The sequence below is a fragment of the Homo sapiens genome, chromosome 2, assembly GCF_000001405.40.
Source record: "Homo sapiens chromosome 2, GRCh38.p14 Primary Assembly".
In the NCBI taxonomy this organism is placed as follows: Eukaryota; Metazoa; Chordata; class Mammalia; order Primates; family Hominidae; genus Homo; species Homo sapiens.
This window is the reverse complement of record NC_000002.12, coordinates 63,402,857-63,428,793: the sequence shown is the minus strand read 5'-3', so window position 1 is coordinate 63,428,793 and position 25,937 is coordinate 63,402,857. Positions and strand designations below refer to the sequence as shown.

Here is a 25,937-nt window from a genome sequence, read left to right as displayed (position 1 = left end):
ATTGTGAATGGGATTGCAATCTTGATTTGGACATTACTGGTGTAGAAAAATCTTGCGTGATTACCCTGGCAAGGACTTCCAGTACTATATTGAACAGGAGTGGTGAGAGTAGGCATCCTTGTCTTGTTCCAGTTTTCAAGGAGAATGCTCCCAACTTTTGCTCATTCAGTATGATGTTGGCTGTGGGTTTGAAATAGATGGCTTTTATTATGTTGAGGTATGTTCCTTCGATACCGAGTTTGTTGGGTGTTGTGAAAGGATGTTGGATTGTATTGAAAGCCTTTTCTGCATCTATTGAGGTAATCATGTGGTTTTGTCTTTAGTTCTGTTTATGTGACAAATCACATTTATCGATTTGTGTATGTTGAACCAACCTTGCATCCCAGGGATAAAACCTACTTGATTGTGGTGAATTAACTTTTTGATGTACTGCTGGATTTGGTTTTCTAGTGTTTTGTTGAGGATTTTTGCATCTGTGTTCATCAGGGATATTGGCCTGAAGTTTTCTTTTTTTGTTGTGTCTCTGCCAGATTTTGGTATCAGGATGATGCTGGCTTCGTAGAATGAGTTAGGGAGGAGTCCCTCCTCCTCAATTTTTTTTTTTTTTTGGAATAGTTTCAATAGGATTGGTACCAGTTCTTCTTTTTACGTCTGGTAGAATTCGGCTGTGAATCCATCTGGTCCAAGGCTTTTTTTGGTTGGTAGGATTTTTATTACTGATTCAATTTCGGAACACATTATTGGTCTGTTCAGGTTTTCACTTTCTTTCTGGTTCAATCTTGAGGGGTTGTGTGTTTCCAGGAATGTATCTATTTCCTACAGATTTTCTAAGTTTTATGCATGGTGATGTTCATAATAGTCTCTAAGGATCTTTTGCATTCCTCTGGGATCAGTTGTAATGTCATCTTTGTCATTTCTGATTCTGCTTATTTGGATCTTCTTTCTTTTTGTCTTATTAATCTAGCTAGCACTCTATTAATCTTGTTTATTCTCTCAGAAAACAACTTTTGGTCTCATTGATCTTTTGTATGGATTTTTGTGTTTCAATTTTGTTCTGTTCTCTGATTTTGGCTTTCTTTTCTACTGCTACCTTTGGGGTTCATTTGTTATTTTTTTACTAGTTCCTCTAGGTGCAATGTTAGATTGTTAATTTGAGAGCTTTCTAACTTCGTGATGTAGGCATTTACTGCGGGAAATTTTCCTCTTAACATTCCTTTCACCCAGAGATTTTGTATGTTGTGTCTCTGTTTTCGTTGATTTCAAAAAATTTTAAAATTTCTGCCTTAATTTCATTGTTTACTCAAAAGTCATTCAGGAGTAAGTTGTTTAATTTCCATGTAATTTTGTGGTTTTGGGAGAACTTTTGGTATTGATTTCTATTTTTATTGCAATGTAGTCCAAGTGTATAGTTGGTATGATTTTGATTTTTAAAAAAATTTATTGATACTTGCTTTATGGCTAAGGAGGTTGTCAGTTTTTCAGTGTGTCCCTTGTGCAGATGAGAAGAATGTATGTTCTGTGGTTGTTGGGTGGAGTATTCTCTTATATGTCTATCAGGTCCAATTGGTCAAGTGTTGCAATTTAGTCCAGAACTTCATTTTTAATTTTCTGCCTTGATGATCTGTCACATGCTATCAGTGGGTTGTTGAAGTCTCTCTATTATTGTGCGGCTAAGTCTTTCACATAGGTCAAGAAGAATTTGTTTTATGAATGTGGGTGCTCCAGTGTTGGATGCATATATATTTAGGATAGTTAGATCATCTTGTTGAATCGAACCTTTTTTTATTGTTATTATGTAATACCCTTCTTTGTCCTTCTCGACTATTGTTAAAGTCTGTTTTATCTGATGTAAGAATAGTGGCCCCGGCTCTTTTTTGATTTCTGTTTGCATGATAGATCTTTCTCCATAGTTTCTTTCCCCTTTCATAGATCTTTCTCCTTAATTTGAGCTTGTGGGTGTTGTTAAATGTGAATTGGCTCTCTTAAAGACAATAAACACTTGGACCTTGTCTTTTTATTCAACTTGCAACTCCATGCCTTTTAAGTGGGATGTCAGGACCATTTACATTCAAAGTTAATACTGATATGTGAGATTTTGATGCTGTCATTGTGTTACTAGCTGGTTGTTTTGTAGATGATGTTTAGTTGCTTTTGATGTGTAGTTGCTTTATAGTATTTGTGGGCTATGTGCTTACTTGTGTTTTTGTGGTAGCAGGTATTGTTCTTTTGTTTCTATGTTTAGCACTCCCTTAAGGACCTCTTGTAAGGCTGGTGTACTGGTAATGAATTCCCTTAGCATTACTTGTTTGAAAAGGATTTTATTTCTTCTTCACTTATGAAGCTTAGTTTGGTGAGATATGAAATTCTTGGTTGGAATTTCTTTTCTTTAAAGTTGCTGAAAATAGGCCCCTAACCTATTTCTTCTGCCATTTGTTTTGTTTTGTTTTTTTTTGAGACAGAGTCTCACTCTGTCACCTAGGCTGGAGTGCAGTGATGTGATCTTGGCTCACTGCAACCTCCGCTTAAACTGGGTTCAAGCGATTCCCCTGCCTCAGACTCCTGAGTAGCTGGGACTACAGGTGTGCGCCACCACGCCCAGCTAATTTTTGTAATTTTTAGTAGAAATGGGGTTTCACCATATTGGCCAGGCTGGTCTCGAACTCCTGACCTCATGATCCGCCTGCCTCGGCCTCCCAAGAGTGCTGGGATTACAGGCGTGAGCCACCATGCCCGGCCTCCTCTTTTGCCTTTTAAGTTTCTGCTGAGAGGTCTGTTGCTAGCCTGACGTAGTTCCCTTTGTAAGTGACCTGACCCTTCTGTCTAGGCCCCATTAAGATTTTTTCTTTGATGTTGACTTTGGGCAATCTGAAGAGTATGTGCCTTGGGGATGGTTGTCTTTTATAGTATCTTGCATGGGTTCTCTGTATTTCTTGAATTTGCATATCAGTCTCTCTAGGGAGATTGGGAATGTTTTCTTGGACTGTATTCTCAAATATGTTTTCCAAGTTGCTTACTCTCTCTTCTTCCCTCTGAGAAATGCCAGTGAGTCATAGGTTTGATTTCTTTACATAATCCCATATTTTGTAGAGGTTTTACTCATTTTTAAAAATTCTTTTAAAAATTGTTTGTCTTACTGAGTTGATTTGAACTGGTCTTTGAGTTCTGAGATTCTTTTCCTAGTTTAGTCTATTATGTTGTTAATGCTTCCAATTGTATTTTGAAATTCTTGTAGTGAATTTTTCAGTTTCAGAAGTTTAGTTTGGTTGTTTCTTAAAATGGCTGTTTTATCTTTCTACTCTTGAATCATTTTACTGGATTCACTGGGTTCTATTGGGTTTCAACTTTCTGCTGAATCTTGATGAGCTTCATTGCCACCCAGATTCTGAATTCTATGTCTGCCATTTCTGTTGCTTCAATCTGGTAAAGAACTGTTGCTAGGGAGCTAGTGTACTTGTTTGGAGGTAGGGGGACACTCTGACTTTTGAATCACCAAAGTTCTTGTGCGGATCCTTTCTCATCTGAGCGGGCTGGTATTGTCTTTTTGGATTTGCTGTCGTTGAATGGGGCTTTTTGTTTTTATATAATTTATTTCCCTTGAGTTTTTAACTGTGGTTCAAGTTGAGTATAGTCAATAGGCTTTGTTTCTGGATGCTTTCAGAAGGCCAAGTGTCTGCACAGGATCTTCATGTGTGGCTAGATTCTTGCTCTCGGTTTCACAAGCTATGTATACTGGAAGAGTATTTTTTGTGTTGTAATTTAGGCTGCAATCCAGTAGATGGCGCTTAAGAGTAATGACTGGCAGATAAGTTCTTAGCCACGTGGCTCTTGTATTTCAGCACATTCGCAGCATCTCTCTGTGGTGTAGGGGGAAAGATAAGCCCCTCGCCAGATCCATTCCCGGGCCTTGGGGATCCCCCTCCGATCACTCGCACCGCGCCCAATACCTTTGTTAGGTATTCTAGGCCTCAGGCTTTCTTAGATAGGGGCTGTGGCTGGCAGACAGGCTATACCCTTCCCAGATAACCCTGTGGAGGGAGGCATGCCCCAGGCCCACACCAGCCCACGAATACCCATGTTTCACTCTTCTGAGTGTTCTGAAAGTGGGAGCTCTTCCCCCGCTTACATGCTGGCCACAGATCTCAGCTTGGCTCCCCTGAGCTGTGTGCTGTAACCCTGGGGGATTGGGACTGGGCCTGCAGCTTCGCTCTCTGGCCCCTGGTTTGGGTACCGGCCATATTGGGGCAGTCAAAGTGCTCCAAGGCCACCAGCAAAGCACTCAGGCTGGGCAGTGGAGGCTGTGCTATGTACACACTCTTGCAGGAGTGGCCAAGCGGGGCCTTGGGAGGGGCTGGTGGACAACGAGGGTGTGAAGAACAGTCATGCCTCAGTCTTATGAGAAAGACAGTCCTCTTCTCTCCTGGCTCAGTGGTCAGTTGGGGGATAGAACTACCTGGAGGAAAATGGAGAACCTATGACCACATTTTGCTGCAGCTGCCCCACTTACAAGGGCTGACGCACACCCCCTCTCCCACCCCCGCCCCCAACACACACCGCGCGCCTCCCTGGGCTCCATGCTGGCTGAAGCTTTGTCTCTGCTTACTCTCTGGGCAGATACCCCTGCCAATTCAAACGTGTATGGGGGTTGTGGGATCTCTTGTAGCTAGAATCCCAGAGGTAAGCGGCGAGAGAGCGTTCCCCTGCCATCACTTCACTCACCCCTTCCTTAGGAGCTGTTCAGGGCCAGGATTGCTGTCCTGGTGCTCAGCAGTCCTATGCAGGGTTCCTAGTTTCTTCCATCTTCAGCTTCGTGTCTATATCCCTCTCTATTGAATGTCAGTGTTTTTTCTCTGAAGATCTGTTCCAAGTACCTTGGCTTACTCAATATTTTCGTCTCTCTCAGTGGTAGAGGTACGTCCTGGCTGTGTCTAGTTGGCCATCTTATCCCTCATTAATCTCCACATACTTTTAATATTTCTTTTTGGAAAGTTATTACCATCCTCCTAGAACTAGTATTTTATTCATTTGCTTTGTCACCTAATTCATTTGTCAACAAACACCTTCAGCTTGAACCAACTTTTATCAGTAATGTGAACCAGTATCAATCACGTGATGGCAACTTATTCTGCCCTTTAGTATCTAAGCAGGTACTTTAACTTTTCAGATGTGTAGACTTGATAATGCTTTCTGAGTATGGTGGTAATTTCATGATCTCTTACTCAGAACAGGTCCTTGAATTTGTTTACCAAATTAACCAAAAATATATAAGCAGAGCTATTAAACCTTAAAATATGTTGTCAGGGAAACATAACATTATGAAAACAATTTTCCCATAAGAAGAAAAAACTAATTTTCCAGGGATTTTTCAAGAGCAGTAACTTATGGGAAAGTAATAATGTAACCAACTATTAATGTAATTTGTCACAATAGGCATTCAGAAGGCATTATAAATGCATCCAACTGTAAAGGCAAAATACTTAAGAAACCTGTCTTCCCCAAAAATGCATATACTGTGTTAGCTTTCAACCAGTGACAAAGATATTCTGCTTTAGGGATGGCAATTTTTAAAGAAACCTCTTTATTATAAAATAAAGCACACATAAAACCACACAAAATAAATGCATAGTTTAATGAGCTATTACAAAGGAAACACTCCTGAAACCACCACCCAAGTGAGGAAATAGAACTGTGCAGGCACCCAGAAGTACCTCCATGTGCTCTGTCATGATCTTAACCTCTTCCCTGTCCTCCAAAGTAACTACTATCATGACTTTTTATCACTTTCTTGTATACCCATATAGCTTTTATCACCGAGTGTGCATCCCCAGAAACCATAGTTTAATATTAGCCACTTAAGACATTTTAATGTATATCTTAAATCTCTTTTAATGTAGAAGTCCCCCATCCATCCTTTCTTTTTCTGTAAAATTTGTCTGTTGAAACTGTAGTGTCCCACAGTCTGGATTTTATTGCTTGCATATTCATGTTTGGTTCAATATGTTTCTCTGTTATTTGAAAATTCCTCAAGTTAGTAGTCAGTTTTGGCAAGACTATATGAGATGGTGTGTCTTTCGTCAGGAGGCACATAATTTCATATTTTCTCTCAGTTCTTTCTCTTTTTTGATGTTAGCAGCTATTCAATGTTCAATGCCTAGATCCATTAATTCATTAGGGTTGCAAAATGGTAATATTATAATTATGTTATTTATTTTTCATTGATTACTTGGGATACTTCTATAAAGAGACACTTCCACTCAACTCCTATGTGTTTCCCAATGGTTGTACTTATATAGGGTAAACAGGACAAATGTCTGTTTATTTTCTATTTACCAGTTTTTGAGATAATGAATTGATTCTCTAGTACTTTCTGAAGGTGCCCTGTTAGCTTTTGTTTTTAAAATAGCATTATTAATTCATGAATTTTAATACATTTGATTTGATGGGGTCCTAAATTATAATTGTAATCCTTTGGAAGCTCAGATTGTCCCATCTTAGGCCAGTGGGAGGCTCTTCAGGTTGGCTGTTCTTTTTGTATGGCCTCAGCAGTCTTGGGTAGCTTCTCTGCTATCTGGTGTGATAGTATATTCCTTGTTTATCTTGTATATTTTCTGCCCCACACCTGGAATTAGTCATTTCTCCAAGACACTGTGGTTTCCTTTTTAATGGAAAATGGTATTTTACGCCTGAGTCAGGGTGTTAGGGATATTAGGCTGTTGTTTTTGGGTTGATTATTGTTTCTAGGTTTCTTCAGTAGAAAGAGTTGGAGATTTTATACATATACATATTCGTAATGAGTCCATGCCAACACTTACAACTCAAATTCAGGACTACAGAGTTTTTAATTTAACCTCTTCTGTATTACATTTATATCTCCTTCTTTCTGTATCAAAAATCCTAGTTTGTAGGGACACGGGATGAATAGGAATATCCCATAATTTCTCATTTACTTTAACCCACAGTACACACTTAACAGTTTCAAGATAATCATGCTATTACTACCACTACATGTAATGTTCTCTTTCTTTTAATCTTCATCTAGTTGTCTGTAGGTTTTGGGTTTTGCCCTTTAGTTTAACTGTCTGTTTTATGTGGGGACTTAGAGACATTAAAAATCTGTAGTACTCCTCGTGACAACTCTCCAGAATTAGGGATGCCGTGTTTATGGTCATGATGAACACCTTTAGTTTGAACCAACTTTTTGTGAAAGCTTAAGGCCTGTGTTTAGATTCACATTTTTGCATGTGGATGTCCAGCTGTTCCACCACTATTTCTTGAGAAGACTATCCTTTCTGCATTGAATTGCCTTTGCTACTTTGTCAAATATCAGTTGATTATATTTGTGTGGGTCTATTTCTGGGCTTTCTGTTCTGTTCCATTGATCTATTTGCCTGTTTTTTTAATGAAATAAAGTTTTTAATATATTGTGTTGACTGTTATAACAACTAGTTCTGTGGATTGGAGGATTTTATTAATATAAACATAATTTGTAACTTTCACATGCCCAAAAGTATGCATAAGAAAATGCTTATACTTACTAGTAAATATGTATGTTTTTCTAAACTTTTCTTTTTATTCTGGTAAGACATTTATATATTTATCCTGTATACAAATGACAGATTTCATTGAAAACGATTACAAATAAGAGAGGTATCCATTTGAAAACAATTGCTACTATTTTGTTTTTAATTGATAATTTGAATAAGTAAAGATGTAGAGCAATAGGGAACTCTCATTCACTATTATGGTAGAGTAAATCAGTAAACTTTAATGGAGAGCAGTTTAGCAATAGGTAATATAATTGAAGGTGAGTGTCCTACACTAAGAAAAACTGGCCCATGTGCACAAAGAGGCATGTACAATAGTGTTCATAGCATCACTGTAATAGTAAAAATACATTAGAAACAACTTAAATGCCTACCAACAGGAAAATGAAAACATCTTGTGGTGAATTCAGAGGGTGGAATGCTCTACAGCAGTTTAAATGACTGAACTAGAGCTATGTGATCATGTGAAATCTGAAAAGAATAAGTTGAGCAAAAAAATTACAGTATGACAAAATACAATAACATTTACATAAAATTTTAAAACATTCAGGATAATGCTATAACACATTGTTCTTGATTGATGATGAAGTAGTAGTATGCATAGGATTAAATACCAAATTCATAATAGTGTTGCATCTGGGGAGAGAGGCAAGGGAATAGGATTTGGCAGGCCTTAACTTTATCTATGATATTTCTTTCATTCTTTTTTTTTTTTTTTGAGATGGAGTTTCACTTCTGTTGCCCAGGCTGGAGTGCAATGGTGCCGTGTCGGCTCACCACAACCTCCACCTCCCGGGTTCAAGTGATTTTGCTGCCTCAGCCTCCCGAATAGCTGGGATTACAGGCATGTGCCACCATAGCCGGCTAATTTTTCTGTTTTTTTTTTTTTTTAAGTAAAGATGGGGTGTCTCTATGTTGGTCAGGCTGGTCCCAAACTCCTGACCTCAGGTGATCTGCCCACCTTGGCCTCCCCAAGTGTTGGGATTACAGGCGTGAGCCACCATGCCTGGCCAATATTTATTTCATTAAAAGAAATGAAGCAAAAGGATAGTATTTCATGAAACTGGTTTTCACATTTATCATATTATTCTGATTTTATGTGTTTTGAATGCATCATGGTAAAAAAGTAAAAATAAAGTGTACCTTTTAAAAAAGTAAAAATAAAGTGTACCTTTTAAAAAAGTAAAAATAAAGTATACCTTTTATCTCCTGTTTCTAAAAATTTCCACAAAGTAAGGAGGGAAATAGATTTCAGAAAAAAATTCTGCTGATAAGCTAAGAACTTTTGGTTGCTGCATAATATTTTAAATGATTGTAATAGCAAAAAATATGTAATAGCAAAAAATAATCGAAACATTAAATGTTTACCTACAGGAAAATGAAACATCTTGGTTACTTACTGGCACTTACTGGTGAAAGTTTTCAGTTCCAGAAAAGGCCACTCTTTAAGTAATTTTTTTTCCTGATTTATATATCAGGTGACCTTAAAAGGATTATAATAGATATATTCCATACCTGAAACATGAAACATGAGGATCTTAAGCCTATCTCTGACTATTGTTTTTCTGCTTTTTGTGTTTTCCTGATTTTAAATATCTTCCAGAGATTGGCGTCAATCATGTTGACTGATTATTTTTCTTCCATCTTTGATGGCATTTGGATCAATTCTAACTACATTTTTCAAATGTAGCTTTTTAAAAATGAAAATGAATCATTTCAGTGATGCATTTTTCAGCAGGTTTCAACCTTAAATAAGACAATGTATGACTGATTTATAGTTGGCTGAAACAATCACTTTAAGATACACTTAAGGGGCCGGGCGCAGTGGCTCACACCTGTAATCCCAGCACTTTGGGAGGCCAAGGCCAGTGGATCATGAGGTCAGGAGTTCAAGACCAGCCTGGCCAAGATGATGAAACCCCGTCTTTACTAAAAATACAAAAATTAGCTGGGCATGGTGGTGGGTGCCTGTAATCCCAGCTACTCGGGAGGCTGAGGCAGAGAATTGCTTGAACCCGGGAGGTGGAGGTTGCAGTGAGCCAAGATCACAGCACTGCACCCCAACCTGGGTGACACAGTGAGACTCCATCTCAAAAAACAAAAACAAAAACAAAAGATACACTGAAGGATAAACTACTACCTTGTTCATCTTTGAAATTGGGAAATCCCAGGACTTTTAGGGACTCTTTATCTTTTCTACTCTTTGTTAGTTTGAATTTTTCAGTTCTCACCATTTCTTTCTTTACCACACAGTTTTCTTTAAAAGCAAAAAAACAAACAAGAAAAACAAAACACTGGACGCTGGCCATCCGTTTCTTGTGTAACAGTCTTCCCTCCCTGGCCATTTTTAATACTGCGTAGCCTGTGGTTTAGCTAACTCACTGCCTGTGTTTCTGTGCTTTTCTTCTTTGTCCTACCCTATTGCCTTAGAATTAAAACAGAGATATTTTCCTTTAGATTTTTAGACTTTCATCAGACTTTTCACCTCATAAAAGTTTTTTCTTCTTCCTTTAATTATCTATACTGTTTTTCCCCTTCTTACTGTTTGCCTTTTCACCATGCCTTTGTTAGAACTTTTTACCCTGTTCGTTATCACAGGCATTCTCTTTTGAATTCTAATGACCAGTTCCTGAAATCCCCAACATGTATTTTAAGACTCTTTAGTTATTAGATTTCAGAATTCACCAAGTCTAGGAAGTACCTGAAGACAGGATTAAGACCAAGAACCCAGTAAGTGAAGGAATTCTTGATCATGAGGTTTGTTGATAACAATAAGCATGCCTCATGGAAGATGGGAGTAGACTTCAAATTAATCTTGATAGATTACACTAATGTCACCAACCACTATCCTATCTTTTTGGATTCTTCTTTCTCCTTTGTGCTTTTGTTCAGATCGTTGTCATTTAGCATTTCTCCCTTCATTACACACCATATATTTCGTTCTTTTTTCTTAGCATCATATCTTGGACTTGGTCATCTCTTGACTAGTAATTCAACCTAAGCTGATTTTGGGAGAAAAACCAGCTGCATGAATATAAGATGAGAGATGTCTTAGTATGGACAAGTTTGGATTTTTAAAAGTCTGGTTTTTTCTAGGTATTTTCAATAACTACATAATTCTATTTGATGTTTTCACCTTCTTATTTGCAAGGATCTGCTAACAGAAAGTCTTATAGCTAGGAAATATATTCACATATTTTTGTCTTTATATAGTTCTTTAGTCAACAGAGTATACTCTAATAACTTTAAAGCTGCTAAAATGCAGGTATTTGCACTTTATCATCTTGGTCTATCACATTAGCATTTTCCTAGAAGAACTGAATGAATTTTCTTCTATTGATTGCCATATTTTATCTGAGCCCATTTTTATTGATGATTGTCCATTTCTCCCTACTTTTTAAATACAAAATGTCTTATTTCAAAATTTTAATTGAAATTCCAATCTACTTTTTCTTTCAATTAAAAATATTACTATAATTTAATATATAAATATATATTAATATTAATATAATTTAATATAATATAATTTGATGTCATTTCAGTCTTCTTGATCAACTTAAACTTTTGCACCAAGGGTCTGTGCTGTGTGAATCAAATTATTTATAAACATTTCCCTGTGCAGATTTATTATCTCTATATGCTTATTCTTGTTTCTTGTTTATTATAGTACATGATACCTTTATCATAGCAGTATACAAATTTATTATTTTCATAGACATTATTTTCATTATTTCATAGACATAGAAACAGAAATATTTCATTCTAATAATATTGGTTATCTTTAAAAATCACATTGTTAAGTATGAATAAAAATAAATTTAAAATTATGAAATTAAAGATGAAATGTATATTTTATTTGAAATGTATTCCATCAATAGTGTTTTATTGAGCTACTACCATATGCCAACTACAGGGTTAAATTTCATAAATCAATTAAATGAGTTTAATATTAACTTCCAAGCTACATCCTTACTATGTTTAAAACAGTTTGCACTATATAAATATCAGCCATAAATTCTAAATAACCAAATATGGATTTTATTTAGTGTCTGTGTTTTTCATTCTTTTTTTGTTTCATTCTGCTCTTCTTGCCAAATAATCCAGGGCTTTCTCATTAGAAACAACAATAATAGCCGCTATTTACTCAGTGCTCCTGTCCCCTGCATTTAGTTACATTATTTTTAATTTGTGCAGCAATCTTGTAACACAAGTGAATAAATCCTTATTTTAGAGATGAGAAAACTTCAGTTCTAAGAGATGATCTTGCTCAAGATCCCAGCATTCTCTATTGTCAAAACAAGGGGTCAGGCCCTGTTATTTGCCTTTTTAACTGTACGGTGTTGTCTGTGGCTGTTATACAGGGTCAGGTCCAACTTGGAATTATATTCTGAACCCAAGTATTTAAAATACTTTAAACATAAAAGTATTTTGGGCCAGGTGTGGTGGCCTACACCTGTAATCCCAGCACTTTGGGAGGCCAAGGTGGGCAGATCACGAGGTCAGGAGTTCGAGACCAGCCTGGCAAACATGGTGAAAACCCGTCTCTACTAAAAATACAAAAATTAGCTGGACGTGGTGGCGGGGACCTGTAATCCCAGCTACTCGGGAGGCTGAGGCATGAGAATCGTTTGAACCAGGGAGGTGGAGGTTGCAGTGAGCTGAGATTGTGCCATTGCACTCCAGCCTGGGCAACAGGGCGAGACTCCGTCTCAAAAAAAAAAAAAAGTATTTTTGGTGTTAATGCTAATGTCATATCCAAGTGTGGTGGCTCGCACCTGTAATCCCAGCACTTTGGGAGGTTGAGGCAGGTGGATCACTTGAGGTCAAGAGTTCGAGACCAGCTGGGCCAACATGGCGAAACCCTGTCTCTATTAAAAATACAAAAATTAGCTGGGTGTGGTGGTGTGCACCTGTAATCGCAGCTACTCGGGAGGCTGAGGCAGGAGAATCACTTGAACCCGGGAGGCGGAGGTTGCAGTGAATGGAAATTGCACCACTGCACTCCAGTCTGGGTGACAGAGCGAGACTCTGTTTCAAAAGAAAAAAAAAAAAGGAAAAAAAAGATTTCATGCAACAGCATAGGACGAACTTAGTTTTCCTTTTTATCTTCTATATAAACAGATGCAAAACTAGCAATAATGTTTTGTATTTGTATAATTTTTGTTTTGAGGAGATAATTTAGTTTTTATTTGGTTCATTTTAGGAATTTTTTTCATTTACATTTACAAAGCATTATCTTTATTTTTAGTACAAATCAATCAATAAAAGAATGAAGCATCTTTATGAGAAGTCAGCTTATTAAGAACTTCCCCTTCCAAACTTTTTCAACCATTCAGAGCAAAGTTACCTATATTATTAGCTACTGGACAAAAAGCACAAGCTTCTTTCTTTTCCACCCCAAAGTTAACAGGCTCTACTATCATTTGCCCTCTTTTCAGTCCCTTCACCTTTTTCTCACTCTTCTTTCTTCTGTGGGGGCTCCCTCAGCCTCACTTAAGGTTCCCAGTGCCCTGTGGTTCCCATTTCCTCTCTCTGATTGTATAAAGGAAAAGCTGATACAGTCATGTAAACTTATTAGTTACCTATGCTTGACAACATGCAGCATGTCTTGCAGAGATCTTAGTTTTTAGAGTCAGACAGACCTGGATTCAAACTGCAACTCTATCACTTATTAGTGGGACCAGGTGCAATTTATACCATCTCTGACCCTCACTTTCCTTATCTTTAGAATGCAGATTATAATACCTAACTTTGGGGTATTGAAAATGTTAAATAAGACAATGCATGAAAAGTCAAACAGTATCCTATTTTCTTGCTTACTACTATTATTATTGGTGAGGTTACTCTTTACGGAAACTTATGCACATTCAAGTATTTTCCTTTGTTTTTTTATAGACAGTCTTGCTTTGTCACCCAGCCTGGAATGCAGTGGCATGATACTAGCTCACTGTAGCCTCAAACTCCTGTGCTCAAGTGATCCTCCCACCTCAGCCTCCTGAGTAGCTAGGATTATAGGTACGTGCCACCGTGCCTGGCTAATTTTTTAATTTTTTTGTAGAGACGAGGTCTTGCTAAGTTGCCCAGGTGGGTCTCAAACCCTTGGGCTCAAGTAATCCTCCCGCCTTGGCATTACAAAGCACTGGGATTATACTAAAGTATTTTTTTAATCTTTAAACTTTTATGGTATCTTTAATTATGCTGTGCAAGACATTTTCCACCCTTAAATGAGTGTTAGCCATCTATCATTACGTGGACAGTTAGTTGAGAAGACAGCAAGTGATCCTCTGGCCTTGACTGGCTTTTAAGAGTAATCTAGGATTGGCAGCTGGGGAAAGGGGGTACATAAGTCCATGGTCTTACTCCTCTTTTTATTATTTTCCCATAACTTATTGGGGTAAAGGTGGTATTTGGTTATATGAGTAAGTTCTTTAGTGATGATTTGGGAGATTTTGGTGCACCCATCACCCAAGCAGTATACACTGCACCATATTTGTAGTCTTTTATCGCTTCTCCCCTTCCACTCCTTCCTCCAAGTCCCCACAGTCCTTTGTATCATTCTTAGGCCTTTGCATCTTTATAACTTAGCTCCCACATATCAGTGAGAACATAAGATTTTTGGTTTTCCATTCTTGAGTTGCTTCACTTAGAATAATAGTCTCCAATCTCATCCAGGTCACTGCAAATACTGTTAATTCATTCCTTTTTATGGCTGTGTAGTATTCCATCATATGTATATATGTGTGTGTGTATATATATGTGTGTGTGTGTGTGTGTGTGTGTATATGTGTGTGTATATATATATCACAGTTTCTTTATCCACTTGTTGATTGATGGGCATTTGGATTTGTTCCACGATTTTGCAATTGTGAATTGTGCTATGCAAGTATCTTCTTAATATAATGACTTTTTTTCCTCTGGGTAGATACCCAGTAGTGGGATTGCCGGATCAAATGGTAGTTCTACTTTTAGTTCTTTAAGGAATCTCCACACTGTTTTCCATAGTGGCTGTACTAGTTTACGTTCCCAACAGCAGCATAGAAGTGTTCTCTGATCACTGCATCCATGCCAACATCTACTGTTTTTTTATGTTTTGATTATGGCCATTCTTGAAGGAGTAAAGTGGTATTGCACTGTGGTTTTGATTTGCATTTCCCTGATCATTAGTGATGTGGAGCATTTTTTCATATGTTTGTTGGCCATTTCTGTATCTTCTTTTGAGAATTGTCCATTCCTGTCCTTAGCCCACTTTTTTTATGGGATTTTTTTTTTCTTATTGATTTGTTTGAGGTCGTTGTAGATTCTAGATATTAATCCTTTGTCAGATGTACAGATTGTGAAGATTTTCTCCCACTGGGTTGTCTGTTTACTCTGCTGACTGTTCCTTTTGTTCTTTGCAAAAGCTCTTTAGTTTAATTAAGTCCCAGCTATTTATCTTTGTTTTTGTTTGTTTGTTTGTTTGTTTGTTTTTTGAGACAGAGTCTCACTCTGTAGCCCAGGCTGGATCTTGGCTCACTGCAACCTCCACCTCCCAGGTTCACACCATTCTCCTGCCTCAGCCTCCTGAGTAGCTGGGACTACAGGCTCCCGCCACCACACCTGGCTAATTTTTTTGTATTTTTAGTAGAGATGGGATTTCACCATGTTAGCCAGGATGGTCTCGATCTCCTGACCTCATGATCCGCTCGTCTCGGCCTCCCAAAGTGCTGGGATTACAAGTGTGAGCCACCATGCCCGGCCTTATCTTTGTTTTTATTGCATTTGACTTCGGGTTCTTGGTCATGAAATCCTTGCCTAAGCCAATGTCCAGAGGGATTTTTCCAATGTTATCTTCTAGAATTTTTATAGTTTCAAGTTTTAGGTTTAAGTCCTTCATCCATCTTGAGTTGATTTTTGTACAAGGTGAGAGATGAGGATCCAGTTTCATTCTTCTACATGTGGCTAGCCAATTATCCTAGCATCATTTGTTGAATAGGGTGTCCTTTTCCCACTGTATGTTTTTGTATGCTTTGTCGAAGATCAGTTGGCTGTAAGTATTTGGGTTTATTTCTGGATTCTTTATTCTGTTCCATTGGCCTGTGTGCATATTTTTATACCAGTACCATGCTCTTTTGGTGACTATGGCCTTATAGTATAGTTTGAAATCAGGTAGTGTGATGCCTCCAGATTTGTTCTTTTTGCTTAATCTTGCTTTGGCTATGTGGGCTCTTTTTTGGTTCCATATGAATTTTAGAATTGTTTTTCTAATTCCATGAAGAATGATGGTGGTATTTTGATGGGGATTGGATTGAATTTGTAGATTGCTTTTGGCAGTATGGTCATTTTCACAACATTGATTCTACCCATCGATGAGCATGGGATGTGTTTCCATTTGTTTGTGTCATCTATGATTTCTTTCAGCAGTGTTTTATAATTTTCCTCGTAGAGATCTTTCGACTCCTTGGTTAGGTATATTCCTAAGCATTTTTTTTTTTGCAGCTATTATAAAAGGGGTTGAGTTCTTGATTTGATTCTCTGCTTGGATGCTGTTGTATAGAACTACTGATTTGTGTACATTAATCTTGTATACAGAAACTTTGCTGAATTCTTTTATCAGTTCTAGGAGCTTTCTGGAGGAGTACTTACAGTTTTCAAGGTAAACAATCATGTTGTCAGCAAACAGTGACAGTTTGACTTCCTCTTTACCAATTTGGTTGCTCTTTATTTCTTTCTCTTGTCTGACTGCTCTGGCTAGGACTTCTAGTACTGTGTTGAAGAGGAGTGGTGAGAGTGGGCATCCTTGTCTTGTTCCAGTTTTCAGAGGGAATACTTTCAACTTTTCCCCATTCAGTATTATGTTGGCTGTGGGACTGTCATAGATGAAATTTATTACATTGAGATATGTCCCTTGTGTGCCAATTTTGCTAAGAGTTTTAATCATAAAGGGGTGCTGGATTTTGTCAAATGCTTTTTCTGTATCTATTGAGATGATCATGTGATTTTTGTTTTTAATTCTGTTTATGTGGTATATCACATTTATTGACTTGCGTATGTTAAACCATCCCTGCATCCCTGGTATGAAACCCACTTGATCATGGTGGATTACCTTTTCGATATGCTATTGGATTCAGTTAGCTATTATTTTGTTAAGGAGTTTAGCATCAATGTTCATCAAGGATATCGGTCTGTAGTTTTCTTTTTTGGTTATGTCCTTTCCTGGTTTTGGTATTAGGGTGATGCCGGCTTCATAGAATGAAGTAGGGAAGGTTGTTCCTTTCTCTATCTTGTGGAGTAGTATCAAAAGGATTGGTACCAATTCTTCTTTGAATGTCCGTTAGAATTCTGCTGTGAATCCGTCTGATCCTGGACATTTTTTTGTTGGTAATTTTTAAATTACCGTTTCAATCTCACTGCTTGTTATTGGTCTGTTCAGGGTATCTAATTCTTCCTGACTTAAGCTAGAAGGGTTGTATTTTTCCAGGAATTTTTCCCTCTATTCTAGGTTTTCTAGTTTATGTGTGTAAAGGTGTTCACAGTAGCCTTGAATGATCTTTTGTATTTCAGTGGTGTCAGTTGTAATGTCTCCTTTTTCGTTTATTAGTGAGGTTATTTGGATTTTCTCTCTTCTTTTCTTGGTTAATCTTGCTAATGGTCTATCACTTTTATTGATCTTTTCAAAGCACCAGCTTTTTGTTGCATTTATCTTTTGTATTTTTGTTTGTTTCAATTTCATTTAGTTCTGCTCTGATCTTGATTATTTCCTTTCTTCTGCTGGGTTTGGGTTTGGTTTGTTCTTGTTTCTGTAATTCCTTGAAGTGACCTTAGAATGTCAGTTTCTGCTCTTTCAGTCTTTTTGATGTAGGTGTTTAGGGCTATGAACTTTCCTCTTAGCACCACCTTTGCTGTATCCCAGAGGTTTTTGTAGGTTGTGTCATTGTTGTTCAGTTCGAAGAATTTTTTAAATTTCCATCTTGACTTTGTTTTTGACCCAGTGCTTATTCAGGAGCAGGTTATTAAATTTCCATGTATTTGCAAGGTTTTGAAGGTTCCTTTTGGAGTTAATTTTAGTTTTGTTCTACTGTGGTCTAAGAGAGTGTTTGATATTTCAATTTTCTTCAATTTATTGAGGTTCATTTTATGGACTATCATGTGGTTTATCTTGGAGAAGGTTCCATGTGCTGTTGAATAGAATGTGTATTCTGTGGTTGTTGGATGAAATGTTCTGTATGTTAAGTCCATTTGTTCCAAGGTATAGTTTAAATCCATTTTTTCTTTGTTCACTTTCTGTCTTGATGACCTGTCTAGTGCTGTTAGTGGAGTATTGAAGTCCCCCTCTATTATTGTGTTGCTATCTATCTCATTTGTTAGGTCAATTAGTAATTGTTTTATAAATTTGAGAGCTCCAGTGTTAGGTGCATATATATTTAGGACTGTGATATTTTCCTGTTGGGCAAGGTCTTTTACCATTATATAGTGTCCCTCTTTGTCTCTTTTAACTGCTGTTGCTTTAAAGTTTATTTTGTCTGATATAAGAATAGCTACCCCTACTCACCTTTGGTGTCCATTTGCATGAAATGCCTTTTTCCATCCCTTTACTTGAAGTTTATGTGAGTCCTTATGTGTTAAGTGAGTCTCCTGAAGGCATCAGGTAGTTGGTAGGTGAGTTCTTACCCATTCTGTAGTTCTGTATGTTTTAAGTGGAGCATTTAGGCCGTTTACATTCAATGTTAGTACTGAAATGTGAGGCACCCTTGCATTCACAGTGCTATTTGTTGCCTGTGTACTTTTGGTTTTTTGTTTATTGTTTTGCTTTATAAGTTGTATTTTTGTTTTATAGGTCCCGTGTCATTTATGCTTTAAAGGTGTTCTGTTTTGATGTGTTTCCAGGATTTGTTTCAAGATTTAGAGCTCCTTTTAGCAGTTCTTGTAGTGGTTGCTTGGTAGTGGCAAATTCTCTTAGCATTTGTTTGTCTGAAAAAGACTGTATCTTTCATTCACATATGATACTTAGTTTCAATGGATACAAAATTCTTGACTGATAATTGTTTTGTTCAAGGAGGCTGAAGATAGGAGCCCAATACCTTCTAGCTTGTAGGGTTTCTGCTGAGAAATCTGCTGTTAATCTGATAGGTTTTCCTTTTTAGGTTACCACGTGCTTCTGTCTCACAGCTCTTAAAATTCTTTCCTTTGTCTTAACCTGATGACAATGTGCCTAAGCAATGATCTTTTTGCGATGAATTTCCCAGATGTTTTCTGTGCTTCTTGTATTTGGATGTCTCTAGCAAGGCTGGGAAAGTTTTCCTTGATTATTCTCCCAATTTTGTTTTCCAAACTTTTCAAATTCTCTTCTTCCTCAGGAACACCAATTATTCTTAGGTTTGGTCATTTAACGTGATCCCAGACTTCTTGGAGGTTTTGTTCATATTTTCTTATTCTTTTTTCTTTGCCTTTGTTGGAAGACTTTGTCTTCCAGCTCTGAATTTCTTTCTTCTACTTGTTAATGCTATCGCTGATACTTTCCACAGCATTTTGCATTTCTATAAGTGTTTCCAATGTTTCCTGAATTTTTCACTGTTTTTTCTTTAAGCTCTCTATTTCCTTGAATATTTCTCCTTTCACTTCTATCGTTTTTCGAATTTCCTTGCATTAGGATTCACCTTTCTCTGGTCCCTCCCTGATTAGCTGAATAACTAACTTCCTGAATTCTTTTTCAGGTAAATCAGGGATTTCTTCTTGGTTTGGATCCATTGCTGGCGACCTAGTGTGATCTTTTGGGGGTACTAAAGAGCCTTGTTGTGTCCTGTTACCAGAGTTGGTTTTCTGGTTTCTTCTCATTTGGGTAGTCTCCGTCAGACGGAAGGTCTAGGGTTGAAGGCTGTTGTTCAGATTCTTTTGTCCCTCTGCGTGTTCTCTTGATGTAGTACTCTCCCCCTCTTCCTATGGATGTGGCTTCCTGTGAGCCAAACTGCAGTGATTGTTGTCTCTCTTCTGGGTCTAGCCACCCAGGAAGTCTACCTGGCTCTGGTCTGGTACTGGGGGTTGTCTGCACAGAGTCCTGTGATGTGAACCATCTGTGGGTCTCTCAGCCGTGGATACCAGTGCCTGTCCTGGTGGAGGTGGTGGGGGATGCAGTGGACTTTGTGAGGGTTCTTAGCTTTGGTGGTTTAATGCTTTATTTTAGTGGTCGTTGGCCTCCTGCCGGGAGGTGGCGCTTTCCAGAGAGCATCAGCTGTGGTATTATGGAGAGGGACCTGTGGTGAGCAGGGCCCTAGAACTCCCAAGATTATATGCCCTTTGTCTTCCACTACCAGGGTGGGTAGGGAAGGACCATCAGGTGGGAGCAGGGCTAGGTGTGTCTGAGCTCAGACTCTCCTTGGGTGGGTGTTGCTGTGGCTGCTGTGGGGGATGGGGGTGACATTCCCAGGTCACTGGATTTGTGTACCTAGGAGGATTATGGCTGCTTCTGCTGAGTCATGCAGGTTGTCAGGGAAGTCGGGGAGAGCCGGCAGTCACAGGCCTTACCCAGCTCCCACACAAACCAAAGGGCCTGTCTCACTCTCACTGCCTCACACAACAGTCCCAAGTCTGTTTCCAGGCAGTGGGCGAGCCAGGCTTGAAAACTTGCCCTAGGCTACCTGCCTCCTAGCTGTGAAAGAAAAGGGCTTGCTTCTCCCCCTGGCTGTGGAGTGTGCATCCCGGATGTCTTGTCCTGTTCGAATTGTTACACAGTTCAGCTAGAGATTTCCTTCTCCCTGTGGAGTTTTACCCGTCTTCCTTCTGGCCACCCCCTCAATGGATCCCTATGGTATCAGGTTAGGAATGGCCTGCTTGGGGACATAGTGAGCTCCCAGGGCCTTTCTGCTACTTGCACTACCCCTGTATTTTGCTCCACTCTCTAAATTGACTCACTTCCAGTTAAGGTCAGAAACCTCTCCTACAAACAGACCTTCAGTTTCTCCATTCTGGGGGTGTGTTCAGGAGAGGAGGCTCTCCCTTTCCCACTCCGCAGTTGGGGCACTCACAGTATTTGGGGTGTCTCCTGGGTCCTGCAGGAGCAGTCCGCTTCCTTCAGAGAGTCTGTGGCTCTTCTTGGGACTGCTGGTTTGTTCTTGCAGTCTATCTGGGCTAAAATTCACAGTGCGAGCCTCCACACACTGCTCTGTCTGGAGGTGCACTCTAGATCTGCCTCCCATCCACCTCCACTTTTTACCCCGTTTTCTTCGTGAAACTACAGAGCCTATTAGAGAGCATCTCACAAACTTTGCAAACAAGGAGGCCTGGGATCCTTTTTTCTGGATCATGAACGTAACTTGTTCAAGTCCAAGACTGCCATCTGTTTGGGCCCCTTCTTTTAGGCTGCCCCTTTGTGAGTACAGGCTCTACTCGACATGACCTGGCCTCTCAATCATCTGCCCTAAGGCTTCCTTTGCAAATCTTTAAGCTTTCTGGAAGTATGATATTTCAACCAGCATTACAATTTTCTTTTAATTCATAGCTTAAGAAACTTCCTACCAGCACAGTTTTTGGCTAGCTGCTACACAGGTACAAAAAAGTGTAAAATATATAAGACAGATTATTTTTTTAAAGATGCCAGAAGCTAGAAGGAATCCAAGAAATGAGGATACTTTTGGTGTAGCATATATGTAAGTACGGTTAGTTAAGTATGGTTGGTAGGACAAACAGAGTGTGTAGGTGAAGACTGTGGATTTCAGGCAAAAAACATGAATGAAGTTATAGAGCAGGGAAAATGTGGGGCAGGTTTTAGTTTGAACTTGGAGTAGGGGTCCTGGAGGGGAGACTGTAGGAGATAATACTGGAATTTGCAAAGCAGATCATGTCCCTCCTTTGTTCAGAACTTACAGCCTCTCATCTGATTTAGAGAAAAAATCAAAGTCCCTAGTGGCCTACAAGCTATCACACAATATCCTCCCTGTGCCTCAATTCCCATTTCCCATGACTTTCTTCCTTGCTTCCCCTTCTCTAGCTATATTAGTCTCCTTGATCTGGCCAATAGAGATTCCACCTCAGGGCTTGTTTCCTCTGCTTGAAGCTCTCCTTTCCCACATGGCTGCATGGCTCATGCCTCTTTCAGGTCACCTTTATGAGAGAGGTCTGTCTCGATCTCTCTGTATCACACCCCGAGCCCCACTCCAGCCACTCCCTATTCCCTGTACTTTGCTTTATTTTACTTCATAGTGTTTAGGATATCTATATGCTTTTATTATTATTGCCTCTGTTTTTGCTATTAGGGTGTGATGGTGTGTGGAAAGTGCTACCCCCAAATAACGGCATTTTTGGCATACTGAATGTTTAAAGCTGAAGGAAATTGAGAAAACCACAGAAGCAGAAAGGTCCCTTTGTCTTTGTCATTCTCTTTCTCTGACATCCTTCCACCTTTCTCCCCTGAAGCCATGAAAAGAATTCTCTGACCTAAAAGTAGATCATAAGACCCTCATGTGACAAGTGTCTACCCTGTACATGGAGGAAAGGAATGAGTACACAGAGACACAGAGAAAAATCTGAACAAATAGGACTTGCTAAGTTCCCCTCAGTACATTAGGTCATACCTGCTTTTTGTCCAGTCATACTTCTATATGACTATCAATTCTTCATCAAACCTAAGCATAAAATAGAGTTTTCCCTGGTTCTTTGGGTCTTCATTTCTGAAGGCACCTATGTTGCATAAAACTTTGGTTACATAAAATCGTTAAGCTTTTCTCTTATTAATCTGTCTTTTGTTATAGGGGGTGTCAGCTATGAACCTTGTGATAGGAGGGAAATGTATTACTTTTTCTCCTTTACAAGTGTATGCCCCTGATCGAGAAGATTTTATGCAATGTCATATCCCTAGCCCCCAGAACCAGTGCCTGGCACATGGCTCATATTCAAATATTTATTGGACAAAAAAGAAAATGACTGCAGCAAAAAGAGTGTGAGGGAGGGAAGGAGTTGGATATGGATCCTATGGCAGTTTATGTTCAGGCAAAGGAATAAAAATTTAACGTATTAGTCAGTGGGTAGCCATTGAACGGTTTGAAGAGTGGAGTAAAGGCAAAAGCATTTAGTTTAGGGAGATTAATTTGGTGATAAGGTGTAGGATGGATTTTTTTTAAGTCACATCAACTCCCCACCCCTCCCCAATCCAGCACTCTGCCACACAGCTCTATGTGCTTTTTTAAAAAATGACTTTTAATCTTGAAATAGTTTGACTCACATGAAATTGTTAAACAGTACAGTAAATGCTCTTTCTGTACTTTCCCCCAGTTTCCCCAGTGACATCTTACATTACTGCAATACACTGTCAAATACAGGAAAATGACCTTGTTACTATACTGTTAACTCAGGTGCAGACCTTAGATGGATTTCATCAGATTTTACATGCACCTTTTCTGGGGGATGTACAGTTCTATAAAATTTTAACGTGTAGATATATGTTTTTTAATATTTCTGGGTCTGACCTTCTTTAATACCACTCTCCTGGTTCTTGGACTCCTGTCATTTACATATGAATAAAGTGAATGGCCTGTGGTTTTATTTGATGTTCTTCTGCATTGTGTTCCATGTTGGTAGATAGCCTTTCCTTTCTATACCAAAGATGCTTTTAAAATTTTACTCCACCAGGATTGACAAATCATATTGCAGTTGTCCCTCGATATATGTGGATGATTGGTTCCAGGACCACCCCCGCCAACACACACACACACACACACACACACACACACACACACACACACACACACACACTATACCAAAATCTGCATATACTTAGCCTTGTGGAACTCAAGTATATGAAAAGTCAGTCCTCTGTTTACATAGATTTCCCACATACTGGGAATACTGTATTTTCTATTTGCATTTGGTTGAAAAACATCCACCTATAAGTGGACCCTACAGTTCAAACTCATGTTGTTCAAGGACCGACTATATATACTAGGTCTTAATTTTTTAATGTTTATTTTAAAACTAGTACATTACATTATTTCTTTCTATTGGTCACTTGTCTACTTAGAATTCCTATATATCCTTTCTGATAGTAAAATATTTCCACAAGATTGTTAACAGGTTTCTAAAGTTTTTTCCTTTGTCTACCCAGCCCTACTAATTAGAAATATATTTCTAATAAGCAATTTACCAATAATTTCAGAATTGACAAGGGTGGTAGGTTGAAGGAGATTAACTAATCATTTAAAGTCCAACTTTGTGTTGGTAAGTTCTTATTCATTCTTTTTAACTTTTTAAGATATTCTGCTAACCATATGATATTACTAAAAGCTGACTTTCTTAGTTTTTATGTACTGTGGAACATATTTAAAGTGATTTACAGGCCTTCCAAAACAAATTGTTAAAGTTAAAATCTTATAGTTTAATTCTTGCAGCTGTGCTATATGTATATTTTTTATTTTTTTAAGACAGGATCTCACTGTGTCACTATATATATTTGTATACATGCTGTATATGAGATAGATGTGCTATATGTACTTTATATACTTGTATGTTGCTGATGTTTAAGATAGTAATTGATTTTCTTTAATAGGTTTCTGAATAAATATGCAGTCCTAGGTGTGAAGTTGAAGAAAAACCAAAGTTTATCTGAATGTACTTGATATATTTCTTAACAGGTTCTGAGTTCTGTCCGCACAGAATGGGACCCACTGGATGTTCGCTTTGGCACCAAACAGCCTTATCAGGTGTTCACAGTGGAGCACTCCGTAAGTGTAGACAAAGAGCCCATGGCTGACAGCTGCATCTATGAATGCATTCGGAATAAAATCCAGTGTGTGTCAGTCACCAGAATACCACTAAAGTCAAAGGCCATCAGCTGCTGCAGGAATGTTACTGAAGACAAACTGATTCTGGGCTGTGAAGATTCTTCGCTAATTCTTTATGAAACTCACCGTAGAGTGACTCTCTTAGCACAGACTGAACTTTTGCCTTCATTAATAAGCTGCCACCCAAGTGGTGCCATTCTGCTAGTTGGCAGCAACCAAGGGGAGTTGCAAATTTTTGATATGGCTCTATCCCCTATTAACATCCAACTGTTGGCTGAAGACCGCTTACCCAGGGAGACTCTGCAATTCAGTAAATTATTTGATGCCTCCAGCAGTCTTGTTCAAATGCAATGGATAGCTCCTCAGGTTGTTTCTCAGAAGGGTGAAGGTAGTGATATCTATGATCTCCTCTTCCTCAGGTTTGAAAGAGGACCTTTGGGTGTGCTGTTGTTTAAACTAGGTAAGTCAAGGAAAGTGATGAGTAAGTAAATTAAAATGTTTAGGATAGTGACATAATTAAGGCAATAAAACTATTCTTAGAATGTAGATTTTTCTATTTATCATCCCATAAATATGTTTGCCTTTCAAATATCCATATAGTTCCCTTTTGTGGATGACTTTCTAACTGCCAAAGGAACACTAGATATTGAATAATTTGTAAATTGCACTAATTGTCAATCATGATGCTTCAAAAGCCCTAATTTTTACATTTGATACGCTCTAAAATAAACTACACTACTAAATAATTCCTTAAGAAATAGACATGTGAATATTTTAGAAGGACTTACTTTGTCCATTGAAAAATTCTGTGTTGTAGGAATGGAATAATTTTTCTATAAAAATTATTTTAGATTATTGGTGTCTGTTGCTTCCCAGACTGGAATTGTGTGAAGCAAGTGTTTTAAAAGAAAAGAAAGCAGATATTTAGTTAGAATTTGCTGAAGATACCTGTATAACTTTTAGTTTCTCTTTTGGATAAAAATATTCAAAAGGATAGGTATTTTTATAGATGTTGATAAGTTAATAGCTATAAAATTATATATTAATATAGCCCATTTCAACCAAGAGAATTTTTTTTAACTTTTATGTAGGTTTGTGGGTACACATGCAGGTTTGTTATATAGGTAAACGTGTCACGGGGGTTTGCTGTACATATTATTTCATCACACAGGTATTAAGCCCAGTACCCAATAGTTATCTTTTCTGCTTCTCTCCCTCCTCATATCCTCCTCCCTCAAGTAGACCCCAGTGTCTGTTTTTTTCTTCTTTGTGTTCATAAGTTTTTATCATTTAGCTCCCACTTATAAGTGAGAACATGCGGTATTTGGTTTTCTGTTTCTGCATTAGTTTGCTAAGGATAATGGCGTTCAGCTCCGTCCAAGTTCCTGCAAAAAACATTATCTTGTTCTTTTTAATGGCTGTATAATATTCCACAGTGTACCACATTTTCTTTATCCAGTCTGTGATTGATGGGCATTTAGGTTGATTCCATGTCTCTACTATTGTGAATGGTGCTGCAACAAACATTTGTGTGCATGTATCTTTATGGCAGAATGATTTATATTCCTCTGGATATATACCCAATAATGGGATTCCTAGGTCAAATAGTAGTTTTGCTTTTAGCTCTTTGAGGAATTGCTATATTGCTTTC

At 38.2% G+C, this 25,937-nt stretch overlaps 1 protein-coding gene across 24 annotated transcripts in view, besides 1 other annotated feature; it reads left to right on the top strand.

The window, feature by feature from the left end:
- The window catches only part of WDPCP (WD repeat containing planar cell polarity effector), a 721,268-nt gene that overhangs the window by 412,033 nt on the left and 283,298 nt on the right, over nucleotides 1-25,937 (top strand). For all 24 annotated transcript variants that reach the window (NR_148705.2, NR_148704.2, NR_122106.2 and 21 more), the window contains one exon: nucleotides 24,137-24,746. Coding sequence is in view for 19 of the 24 variants with exons in the window: in XM_047444629.1 (XP_047300585.1) it covers nucleotides 24,137-24,746 (610 nt within the window). In the remaining 5 variants the exon portion in view is untranslated. The remainder of the gene's footprint in view (nucleotides 1-24,136; nucleotides 24,747-25,937) is intronic.
- Nucleotides 3,678-3,797: an enhancer, noted in NCBI's record as "active region_15875". NCBI's record gives its function as "activates an Ori minimal core promoter by ATAC-STARR-seq in GM12878 lymphoblastoid cells {active_cell/tissue: GM12878}" and the evidence as "EXISTENCE:reporter gene assay evidence [ECO:0000049][PMID:35858748]".